Genomic DNA, 12,912 nt, shown 5'->3' with positions numbered 1-12,912 from the left:
TAGGATATCTTAGATGGTATTTTAGTCTGTTCAGGCTGCTATAATAAAATGCCATAAACTTGGTGGTTTATGAAAAACAGAAATTTATCCAACACAATTCTGGAGGCTGGAGAATCCAAGATCAAGGCACCAGCAGATGGTGGAAGGTGCAGACGAGCTTGCTGAGGCAGCTTTTATAAGGCACTAATCCCATTCTTAAGGGCTACACCCTCATGATCATAACACCTCCTAAAGGCCTCACGTCTTAATGCCATCATCTTGGGAGTTAAGATTTCAACATATGAATTTGGGGTTCAGGGGACGCTAACATTCAGACCATAGCAGATGGAAAGTTTTTGAAAGCCCATGGTTTGCATTTCCTGGTACATAATGCAATGGGATCTGTTGCATCTGGGGACTTCAGGGTCATTAAAGGGGTTCTGTAGTGCATCTCCCTACTTCTCATGTGTGAAATCAGAACACTGCAGTCATAGATGAGGACTGCTCTATGTTTTAAAATATTTTGGTCTTTTAATAAGGAGTCTGCCCTTAAAGTTTACTAGTTCCTCCATGCTTGTATCTCTTGCTGCCTTTTGCCAAGACAAGAAAAATATCTGCTTAGAAAATCTTGTGGAAAAGTAGCATTTGTAATGTGACCCTAAAATTTATACTAACACTTAGAAACTCAAGGCTGGGCATTACTTGTACTCCTGTTCTGGGTGAGGGGAGTGGCTAGCAACAAATAAGACAAACTCCTTTGAAGTAATTAATAACTACCAAAGAAACATTGGCTCACTGCTTTATTACAACACATCTCCTTTTTTTTTTTTTTTTTTTTTTTAAGAAAGGCAGTCAAGGTAACAGATGGAGAAAGTTTTAGGCCTGACAGTTATAAATAGTCCTGCAGTTTATTCCATGATATATTTGCAATTCTCTTTCTTTGCCATTCTGAAAGTTGGATCTCAATCAAAATACTTTTCTCTTGACCAAAGAGTGTAAATTATTCCCAATAGTCTAGACCTCAAAAATAATAGAGTAGGGTAATGCAGTTTGGGCCCTTTGAAAGTTTTATTGGCCGGGCGCGGTGGCTCACGCCTGTAATCCCAGCACTTTGGGAGGCTGAGGCGGGCGGATCTTGAGGTTGGGAGATCGAGACCATCCTGGCTAACACGGTGAAGCCCCGTTTCTACTAAAAATACAAAAATATTAGCCGGGCGTGGTGGCGGGCGTCTGTAGTCCCAGCTACTCAGGAGGCTGAGGCAGGAGAATGGCGTGAACCTGGGAGGCGGAGCTTGCAGTGAGCCGAGATCGCACCACTGCACTCCAGCCTGGGTGACAGAGCGAGACTCCATCTCAAAAAAAAAAAAAAAAGAAAGAAAGTTTTATCTATAGTTTAGAGTATTGCCACAACTAACACCTGATCTTTAGAGGACCCTCTTTTCCAGGGATCGGATGGAGCAGGGGAACCCTTTGAATAAATCAGTCATCCTAAGTATGGCCTTTGCTTCTTATAATCAAAGTAATGCTTGTCTAATGACCACTGTGTTGCCAAGCACTAGAAAGAACAAAAGGACAAGTATTCTGTCTTTAACGGACATTTAACGGGGAAAAAGCATTAAAGATACAAAAGCTAAACAGCAACAGAAGACAGTGGAACATAAAATGTCACAAGGTGTTAAAATGATGATAATGAATTAGAAATATCACTTGGCTGTTCTAAGCATACTTTCTGTAATACTGAAAACTACATCAACGAAGCATCAAAAGTATTTTGAACGTTCAAAATGTCCATACAGAGCAAATATATCCTCTTTCCTTAGAGAACTTGAAATTATATGGTATACATTTAAGGAAAACCATTGAACTATCAAAGATTTTCAAAGTGGTGATATCCCCACTGCTGGGGAGAATGTGGAGAGAAAGAACCCGTAAATACTACAGATGTTTGTGTGGAATTAGCACAACCATTCTTGAGAGCAGTATGGCTATAGCTGTCACAATGTCAAATGTGCATCCCTTTGTTCTGGAAATGTTTCATAAATGATAAGCTGAGTAATGTGAATTAACTCTTTCTCTCTAAGAACACCTAGGAAAGCAAGGCAAAATATTTTTTAGAGTCTGTTTTTTAAGGCAAGAGAGAACTACTGGAACATGGGGCCAAGATCCAAGAGAAGGAAATCAAGACCGTCAGACTTTGGGGGCCACTTTATCCTTAAAGACACTGCCTTTTTGGTAAAAACTGCAGAGAGGCCAAAAAGATAAGTAAGGTTAAAGAAGAAAACAAAAGTCCGTGGTATGTCCCAGGAGGAAAGGCCCTAGTAATCTAATCCCCCAGACTTTAGAGTAGGACCCAGTGAATTAGAAATGGGCCAGTCCTCAAAGAGACTGAAGTTCAGCTTTGAATCATTGTTGTTATTGGTTTAATTTCAAACAGTTTTCCACTGGAGATCCAGAAGATAATTAATCCCTAGCGTTCTAAGGTGTCTATTGTTTATGAGGAATTAATTTATCTCTGTTGTACCTAGGATGATGCTAGCTACCTACCCTTCTTGGGAGAGTTGAGAAAATAATCACTCAAATGATTTGCTGCGGGGCTTAATTCTCTCACAAAACCTTAGCTGAGAACAGCTAAATTAGGTTGTCTGGGATTACTAATGCCCCCCAGTCGCCAGCTAGAAGCCGGAGGGAGTTATCTTCTTGTGGCTTTAAATTATGTCTATAACTTTTATATATACTGATCAGCACTCAATCAAAAAATGACCAAGCACATGAGGAGGTAAGACAATCTGCTAGAAAACCAGAGTAAACAATAGAAACAAACCCAGGAGAACCAGATCATAGAATTATCAGACACAGATTTTAAAAATGTTTTTATCAAAATTAAGCAGAGATCTGAAAACTAGAAACATTCTAATGAAAAGTCTAGAACTAAGAAGTTATAATAACAAATTAAAAACTCAGTGGATGAATTTAACCGCTTGTTAGGTATAGCCAGAGAGATTTTGTAAAGTGGAAATTAGATAAATCAAATAAAATATCTGAAAATACTGAAGCATGCAGAGACAAAATATAGAAAAAGAACACACACACACACACAAAAGACAGAGAGGTGAAAAGTGGAGAAGAAACAATATTTGAAAAGATAATGACTCAAAATTTTTCAGAATTGATGAAAGACAATTATTCACATATTCAATAAGTGCTACAAGCCCCTGAAAGGATAAATGCAACCATGCCTAGGAACATTATAGTAAAATCACTGAAAGCTAAAGACAAAAATAAATAAATATGTGTGCATAAAAATTAAATCTATCAGAAGACAAGATAGATTGTTTCAATTGAGCAATAAGAGTATGAGCTGACTTCTCAACAGAAACAGTGGAAAGCTATAATATCTTCAAAGTGCTGGAAGAAAATATGGAAAAATTGTTCACGGATACATGTTCGATAATAGTAATTACACTACAAATTGTAATGAAAGGTTGGAAGCCACTTAAATGTCCAATAAGAGTTTTAAACATATTTGCCTCCCAACAGTGGACCATATAACCATTAAGAAGAATAAGGGAGATCTTTAGGTATGATATGTTAATGATATGTTAAAATGTTCCAAAGGTATTATTAAATGAAAAAAAGCAGGTTGCAAAATAACATAGTATACATTCCCATTTGCATTAGCAGTATTGTGATACAATTAAATATAAAAGGATAGGCACCAAAATGTTAACAGTAGTTATCTTTGGATGATGCAATTATAAGATAATTTTATTCATATTCTCTTTAAATTTTGTAATGATCACGTATTATCGAACAAAGATAGTTTCATTTTAAAAAGGGGGAACAAAACCAGTCAGTACTTCAAAGGTTGTGTGCTCTGTATTGACCGTGAGTTCATTGTAGAATTGTTATAACGGATATTGTTAAGTGCATTTCATTATCTCTACATGGAAGAAATTCAGCAAAAGTAAGCATCGGGTAAGATCCCTAGACTCAGATCCCTAATATTCTGGATCTTCCGAAATCTAAGGAAGATCAATGTGAATAATGTCCCTTGGAGCCCCAGGTTGGCTCTCATTTTATGAGAAGCATCAATCAATGGTCACCCTTCTCTGATTTAGAATTACTTTTCTTTGTAAGAAACTTTGGAATAATGTTAAGAATTGGGTTAAAATTTTTAATTTTTTTCCTGCTAAAATGTAAATTGCAATACAGTCTGCTCCCTAAAGATAAGAAACTAGCAGTATTCTTATTTTCTTAAAACATTTGGATCACAATACCAAAAGACACAATTTAAAATGCCATAATCCCGAATCTTGAGTTCCTGAAAGATCAAAACCCCTAAGGATCAAAATCCCTAAAGTCTAACATCCCTGGTGTCTAAAATCCCAAAAATCACAGTCCTGAAAGATTAAAATCCCAAATGTTGAAATCCTGAAAACCAAAGTCTAGGGAAGCGATTAGTGTGTTTTCAGCTGCACACAGGATAGTTGCATTATGCTGATTGTACCATGTTAGGTGGAACTATTACCTTGTCTTTACTGGGAAATTTAGTATGGTTTAACACATGGGTGCCAGGTTGACAAGGGATGGGCTTGTGGACTTCATTTTAGATGTCAACTTGACCAGTAAAAACTGGTGGAAACCTGGTAAAGCATAATTTTGGGTATATCTGTGAGTGTTTCCAGAGGAGATTTGTGTGTAAGTCTGAGTGGACTTGATGGGGAAAATCTGCCCTCATTGCTGACAGGCCCCATCCAACCAGCCAGGGACTTGGGAGAGAACAAATACAGAAGGCACATTGGTTTGTCTCTGAGAGCTGGGACAGACTTTTCCTCTGCTGCCTTGGACATAGAAATTTGACTCCATGCAAGTGCATTATCACGACGTTGCCTTTGTGCGTAAGCATTGTGTGTGTACGTAAAAATGCTGACACTTCCTCAATACATGAAGAGATAGTCTTTTTGTAGATCTGAATTTGTGAGAGATAAAATTTCTGGAGATCTCAGCTCTTTGGGAAACTGCCTAAGTGGGGGTGACCCATCATGGTTTTTGATCTATCTTCTCAAAAGACTTAAGTTGTTCATATGGTATTTCAGGTGATCACAGTTATAAAGCTGGGTGTCTGCAGTTACCAACCATAATGACATGCATTTGTACTTTGCCCTTTTTCACCTATTCCTTTATAAATACAGCTTGTATGCTCATAACTGTTATACCCATGTGACTGTTGTTAGTCTACCTGTGTTTATGCTTGCAAAAATATGCATTCTATTATTGCCTATTTTATTGCATAAAGTGGCCTTTGAAGTGTTCTGTTGTGTTTTTATATGTTTCTCAAGTAAATCCCTCTTTAAAATGTAAATAAATATATTGTAAAGAATGTCTTTTGTTTTTCCAGAATTATATCTTTGGGATTTTGGTTTTTCACAATTTCGCCAGTCAGGATTTTGGCATTCAGGATTATGATTGGCTCCCATATAGGATGAATCTTCAGCGTTAGTTAAATTGCAGTTCCCTCGGTGCAATGCAGGGAGCTATTTAATAATTTTGATTATTTATATTGGTAACGTACATGAGGGAACATGATTTGGGGTAAATGAAGCACCATTTGGATGATAAAGTCTGAATTGTTTTTCTAGGCCGAGAAATCCGTCTGCCCCTCCGAATCAAAGGGGAAGGCATGGGACCTAAGATTCACTTCAACTTTGAATTGCTGGATATTGGGAAAGTTTTCACTGGATCTGCACATTGTTATGAGGTAAGCACTAGAGTTGTTCGTTGATACTTCAAACAGTACTTGGCTTTTGGGGTTTGTTTTATCTTATATGTTTTTATTTGATGGAAAGAGTATGCAATCACATTTATTCGCCGTTACTCATCCTTGTTGAGACCCTGGAGTGCTCAGATTCTTCCTCCTCCTGCCTGGCCATCATGAGGGGAACAACTTTTTTATCTTCATTAGCCCTCCTTCACTTTAGTGAAAGCTAAAAAGCATCAAAGCCATAGTTTCACTGGTTTTATCCTCATTGTTTTGTAGATTGCAAAGGGAAAACTCATAAATACATCTCCCCATCTGTTTAGTGCTTGTTCTCTGACAACATAAATTCCACAGATCAGAGGATAGATAACCTTTTACATTTTCTAGAACGTCCTAATGAGCATAGCTGTTTTCACATTTCAGAATTTTCTCTTAATGCACTAGTCTCCAATCCATGTTTTAAAAACCAATCAGTTTCTGGAAGAGACTTTCCTGCTTTATCTTTCCAATTAATTAGAAAATGAAATTTTACAGGATGTATGCATGAGTTATTCAGGATCAGTGTTTACTTCAGTGTCTCCCCATCACTAAATTTGTATCTAGGGCACATTTTTTACATTACATCAGACTGTAACCCTTGAAACTTCATTTTGGGAAAGTTCCTTCATTGTATATGTTTGTATTTTTATAGAGGTATTTTAAACAATTATTTAATGAGTGACAAATAGGTGCCAGATTCAGATTCATACTTTATTGTGTGTGCATGTCTATGTGTGTGTGTGTGTGTGATTTCTAATCCTTACCAAATTGTGAAAGTTAGGCTTTATTACATCTATTTTGCATATGAGAAATGTGGATCGTGTAGTAGTTAATATCATACACATCTCCCTTAATGTGTGTTGAGCACAGTGCTAGTGCTTTGACCTTCACTCGTTCATTTAGTCCTCACAAAAACCCAATTTGTATCCTAGCACTTTGGGAGGCCAAGGCAGTGGATCACTTGAGGTCAGGAGTTCAAGACCAGCCTGGCCAATATGGTGAAATTCAATCACTACTAAAAATACAAAAATTACCAGGGCATGTTGGCAGGCATCTGTAATCCCAACTACTTGGAAGACTGAAGCAGGAGAATCACTTGAACTCAGGAGGTGGAGGTTACAGTGAGCCAAGATCGCGCCACTGCACTCCAGCCTGGGCAACAGAGTGAGACTCTGTCTCAAAAAAAACAAAAAAACAAAAACCACCCCAAAACAATAAAAACCTATTTGTGAGAACTATTTGTGAGGTACGATTAACTATTTCCATTTCATAGCTGGGTAAACTGAGTCTTAGAGAAGTTAAGGTAGTGCTAGATATTGTAACAAACAAATACAAAAATACATAATGTCTCAAATATGCTAGAAGTTTCTTTTACACCTTACATAAAGTCCAAAACAAAGGTTTCTAGTGAGCAGGTGCTCTCTTCCAGCAGAGAAGCTGGAACGTCTCATGCTTGGCCACCCCTACCACGTGGTCTACAAGATTGTGGAAGGGGAAAGGGCATGGGGGAACGTATATGATATTTTTATAGATGGTAGCACATTTCACTTACATTCATATTCCATTAGCTGTCTGCACAGTAAAAGAGGAAGTGCATTCAAGGAACGGCAAACCTGAATGCCAGGGTAGTTAAGTAACTTGGCAGGGTCCTGCAGCATGTAATGTTAGTGAGTCCTGGGGGACTAGGGCTCTCTCTCCTGTTCTGGGAAAAGAAGGCCTTTGCTGGCCTCTCAACCCTTCAGGTTCTCAGCATCCCAACCTCTCACCTCGGGTAAACCCAGCCTCCAAACCACTTGGCTCTTAGCCCAGCCTAACCTGGTGTGGGGACAGTACCCTGCATCCCCCACATTCACAAAGTAACTGTGGCCTAAATGGGATGATGCAGAAGGTAAACAGAGATGGTAATGTCACAGTGAGATGGACTATGCATAGGAACCCTGTGTAAATGAAGAAGTCAGTCGCATGGCTGTCGTGAAATGACAAGTGACACAGCTATATCCCACACTGTCCTGGATTGCATTTGAGAGGTCACTTGGGGAGAAGGAAAAAAAGTCCAGTAGTTCTCATTAAACTGATATTCTGTCTGTAATTCATCCAGTGTGAATTTCCTGTATCTTACAGACTGAACTTATGAGTGCCACATCAGAAAAGAAGCTTTAGTTCTGATGCAAAATGGATAGGGTTTCCCTGAATGTAAATTTAGCAGAAGTGTACTTGAGGCCACCACTTCCCACCCTCCCTAATTTTAATAGTAAAGCAAACCACAGCCAGTTAAATAAGTGTTCAATGAGGTGATGCATCAGATTGGACAGTTTGGAGAGCTGTGCAGTGGCAGAGAAGGACACGGTAAGGTGCTTCTTATGGGAATATTTTGCACTGTCTGCGTATTTAATGCTGATGCTTCATTGCATCTCTCTTTCAATTTATTGCATTACCTACTTGAGACAAATTTGAATAACTAGCTATTGCCCTTAGTCATTGCTGAACATAGCAGATACATAAAGAATAAACCATTAACCCCAAGAGTATACCCTATTCCCCAGTGTAATTAAGAAGGAAAACAAATGAGAGGCAAAGTTTGATTATAAATTTTCTTCTCTCCAAGGAGCTAGACCTCAAGGGAAAGAGTATTATCGGTAATCAAAAGGCCTCTGAATTGTGTCCCAAAACTATTGCTGGTTTCTGTATTCGTAAGTAGGTGCTTATTTCTCAGGAGGAGAAGAATGATGTCATATTCTTAAAAATGGAGGAATTCTCACCATACAGAAAATATGGGCAAAACATTTCTGCTAACCAAAAAAACTAAAAGGCAATCCATGCATCTTCTGAAAGAGAAGAACAGGGTCCTCCAAGTTACCACTAATGCCTTCAATTTGCCTTCATGTTACCACTAGTACGTACTAGTCACTTCTTAAGCACAGGTAAAATTTAAACCCATTCTATTAGGCACTGGGGATATAAATAGCAGTCACTGACTACGTGTGGTGGCTCATGTCTGTAATTCCAGTGCTTTGGGAGGCTGAGGTGGAAGGATCGCTTGAGCCCAGGAGTTCAAGACCAGCCTGGGCAATACAGAAAGACCCCATCTCTACAAAAAAAAACCCACAAAAATTAGTTGGGTGTGGTGGCACATACCTATAGCCCCAGCTACTCAGAAGGCAGAGGCAGGACGATCACTTGAGCCTAGGAGTTCAAGGGTACAGTGAGCTATGATGGCGCCACTGCACTCCAGCCTGGACAACAGAGCCAGACCCTGTCTCTTAAAAAACAAAAAACAAACAAACAAACGAAAACATAACAGTCTCTGTCATTTTTAAGCACTATTTGCCAAGCACTATTCTAAAAATTACATAAATTAATAAATTTAATTTTACAGCAATATGAGAAGTTAGTAGTACTTACATTTTACACATGGGGAAACTGGAGCACAGAGAAACTAAGTAGATTGTCCAAGGTTACAGAGCTAGTAAGTCAATGGCAAAGCTGAGATTTGAACCCAGGCAGTTTGGCTTCAGAGTCGCTGGCCATAATCACTTTTCTACGTGGTCTCTTTAAACGCAATGAAGGGTGAAGCCTGGTTCCTGCTACCAGGGACCTTAGAATGAGGGAGATGCGAAAGAAACATAAAAAGATGAATAAAATAGCAAGCAGCAATTATTTATGCTTCTATTTTGGTGCATTGTCCGTCTTCTCTTGGCAGAAGAGGCTGTCTTCCTCTGCTCTGCCTCTGCTGCCGACTCTTTCTCTCCATCATATATTCTGGATGCCCTCTTCCCTGCAACCTGAGCCCCTGAACTCATCCTCCTCTGCCTCCACTCAGACCCCATTCCCTTAGTTACCAAGCTCTCTTCTCTTACAACAACAACAGGCAGCACTTGGGTGAGTGTTTCCTCTAGGCTGAGCACTGAATATGCATTATCTCATTTATTATAAATATGCTGTCTCCTCCACAGTACCTCCCCACAGTCTTGCCACTCCCATTCTCACCTTTCACCACTCATCTTCTCAAAACAGGAATCTAAAATAGTCAGCCACTATTTCCTGTACACCCACTCAATTCCCTAAATATTTGTCCTCTGGATTCTGCAGTCATGCCCCACTAGAATTACTCTCTTCCTCAAGGTCAGGGATGACAATAATCTCTAACTAAAAATAATGTCTGTAACCTTTGCTCCAGACTTACTCTCCTGACCTCTGTCTGCATCTGACTTCTTCTGGGAATCCTCCTCCCTCAGCTTCCGCGTTCCTGACACACGTCACATTTGCCTGCTAACCTTCTGAAAGTTTCTTTGAGATCTCTCATGCTCTTTGTCCTCCAAAGCCTTATGTGTAGGTTGAGGGTGGTTCCTATATAAATCAGGAAAACATGCTGTTCACCCTCTAGGTGTAAGGACAGCATTGGCAAGGATCAGAGGTGGTGTCTTTGGAAGCCAGGATAGAACAACATGGCTGTAGTGAAGGTTCATGCACAAGAATTGTAGGGACAGTAGACTGAGGCCTGCCTTGTAGGACGCCTAATATCACGAGTGTGCATGAAGGAGCTCAGGCATGAGCTCTTTACATGCACACACTAAACCCAGTGTGCAACCACCTATGGGCAATAACATGCTTCCAGAACACTAGAATATAGGAGTACAACTTTTCTATAGTAAAACAGTTGCTTGCATAAGAATCTCAAAACAATCATCCATCCAGTAGAATCTGAGATGAAAATGTCTCAATAGGATGAAATCTGATAGCACAACAAAGAGAACCCTTGTCATCTGGGATCCACAGTGATGTCTCATTTACATTCTTCAAGCTACATTATAAACATAGGTTTAGGTAATTCTCACTCTGCTATTCTAACTTGCTTTTTATTTTTAAGTATGCTGCTTAACCTCAGCCTTCTCATGCGTATAAGAGAAATACTTACTTTCCCTTGGTTACTTTATAGAGAGTAGCAAAAAAGGGAGTATTTTAAGGCTCTTCATCAGTATATGTGATTATGATCAGTCTTTATAGCACGAGCATAATATATATGACTAATTTCATGTTAAAGAGGAGACTAAAAATGTAAAATTACTTTCTGGCTTGGGAGTTCTATCTTCAAACACTCAAGGCATCAGACTGTTCATTTGTCCCTGAGTGTTCTTCTTTGGTTCTAATTCTGCAACTTTCCCTTTGTTGCTGTTAAACAGTACAGACACATGCTTATATGAAAATAGGTCAGAGGCCCATTGACCTTCACATTCTTGCCTTTTATTGATATAGGCGATACTGTACAACAAAGGCAGCATCGATGCTCTCTTCAACATGACCCCTCCAACTTCAGCTTTGGGGGCCTGCTTTGTTTTCAGTCCCAAGGAAGGCATCATTGAACCAAGTGGAGTCCAAGCTATCCAGATCTCCTTCAGCTCTACCATCCTGGGAAACTTTGAAGAAGAGTTCCTGGTCAATGTCAATGGGTCACCTGAGCCTGTGAAACTGACCATTAGGTAAGGTACATTTATAATGAATGTAGAAACTAACAGAAGTTTTAACCTATTGCCTTTTTAGCTTTTTAAGTAGATCCTGTCTTGGATGCTGATGACTATCTTTGTTGATATGAACACATCAGCATAATAGAGTGTGTTAAATTTCCATCAGTGTTTCCCTAGTGAGCATGTATAAGTTATTATAGATACAGATGCTGTTTGGAGATCTAGTTTTTCTACAAGTTATAGTCTTATAAAATAAGGATTTAGACATTAAACTAGCTTCTAGTTACTCTCTATGTCTTAGGATGTTTAGAGAAAATAAGTTATTACAGTAACACCTGAATAAAATCATCTGGGCTAAGCTTTGGCCATTATCACAGTTTCTCTAAACTTTTGTCTTTTGTTCTTATTTTAAGGAAATTACTTACATGATCTCACTATTATGTCTCCAAGCATTGTAAACACGTTGCTCTGACTCTATTTGGATTCCCACAGCAGCAGGTTGTTAATTACCATGGCAGTTTCTCTTATTCTGGTAACTGCTAGCAAGACCTCCCTCCATCTACAAGCTGAGGTCTCCCTTGGGGCAAGCCCTGGGGATAACATAGAAAAGAGATAGAGACATATGACCTGAAGGATCCAAGGAAAATGTACTGATCTCATGATATATACTATACATTCAGAATCTCAAGATTAGCTGAAAGGTGATTACTATTTATTCTCAACTCTTCCACCTCAGTGTCCCTGTTATGCACTGAATTGTTTCCCGCAGAATTTATATGTTGAAGTCCTAACACCCAGTACCTCGGAATGTAACTCTTCTTGGACATAGGGCCTTTAAAGAGGTAATTAAGGCAAAATGAGGTCAGATGGGTGGGCTTTAATCCAATATGATTGGTGTCCTTATAAGGAGAGGACATTAGGACACAGACATACACATAGAAAAGGGCCATGTGAAAAAATAAAGAGAAGCTGAAGCGAGAGACCCTCAGAAAAAAATAACCCTGCAATCACCAACCCTTCTGACAGCAACAGAAATAAACTTCTGTTGTTTAAGCCACCCAGTCTAGGGTACTTTGTTATGGCAGCCCTAGCAAAGTCATACAACCCCCAACAACTAAGGAGAGTGAACGTGTGTGCCTCAAGGGTTCTGTGGCATGACCAAAGCAGCCTGTCACAAACATAATCTTTTTTATTTTTAAGTCTCAAGACTTATCTGAAACATTCACAAGACATTTACGTTCTCTTCCATAATACATGTGTGTTTGTTATAAGAGAAAAATGAGGGTTGTTTTCCAAATATTTGAATAACATTGACTCTTCACGAATATGTGCCGTGCTTATCCCAGCCCATGGTTAACATCCTTTGGGTATGTATACAACATGAGAAGGGTGGGAATACACTTTCATTTATATGAACTTCAGCCCACTTCCTACCTTCATAACATCTCATCTCTCATGACAAGCAGTGAAGGGTGGTTCTCTGAAGAAGTAGGAAGAACAAACTTGTGAATATAACCTTGTCTCCAATTCACGGATCCTCTAGTCCCATGAGGGCCTTTGATAAGATCCAGCAGATCAACTCTTGGAAGCTGACTACTGGGCATCAGGAAGTATTGCTCTGAGTCATAAGCACCCTTGACAACATCCAGTATCATAAGCAAGCCTTCATACGTA

The 12,912-nt window shown here is 39.2% G+C and overlaps 1 protein-coding gene across 4 annotated transcripts in view; it reads left to right on the top strand.

Annotated features, from left to right (window-relative positions):
* The window catches only part of HYDIN (HYDIN axonemal central pair apparatus protein), a 428,639-nt gene that overhangs the window by 131,169 nt on the left and 284,558 nt on the right, over positions 1–12,912 (top strand). For all 4 annotated transcript variants that reach the window (NM_001270974.2, NM_017558.5, NM_001198543.1 and 1 more), the window contains exons 11-12: positions 5,619–5,737; positions 11,030–11,253. In NM_001270974.2, the coding sequence (NP_001257903.1) occupies positions 5,619–5,737; positions 11,030–11,253 (343 nt within the window). The remainder of the gene's footprint in view (positions 1–5,618; positions 5,738–11,029; positions 11,254–12,912) is intronic.

This window comes from Homo sapiens, chromosome 16, assembly GCF_000001405.40.
Source record: "Homo sapiens chromosome 16, GRCh38.p14 Primary Assembly".
NCBI lineage: Eukaryota > Metazoa > Chordata > Mammalia > Primates > Hominidae > Homo > Homo sapiens.
This window is presented reverse-complemented; position numbering and strand designations above follow the sequence as displayed.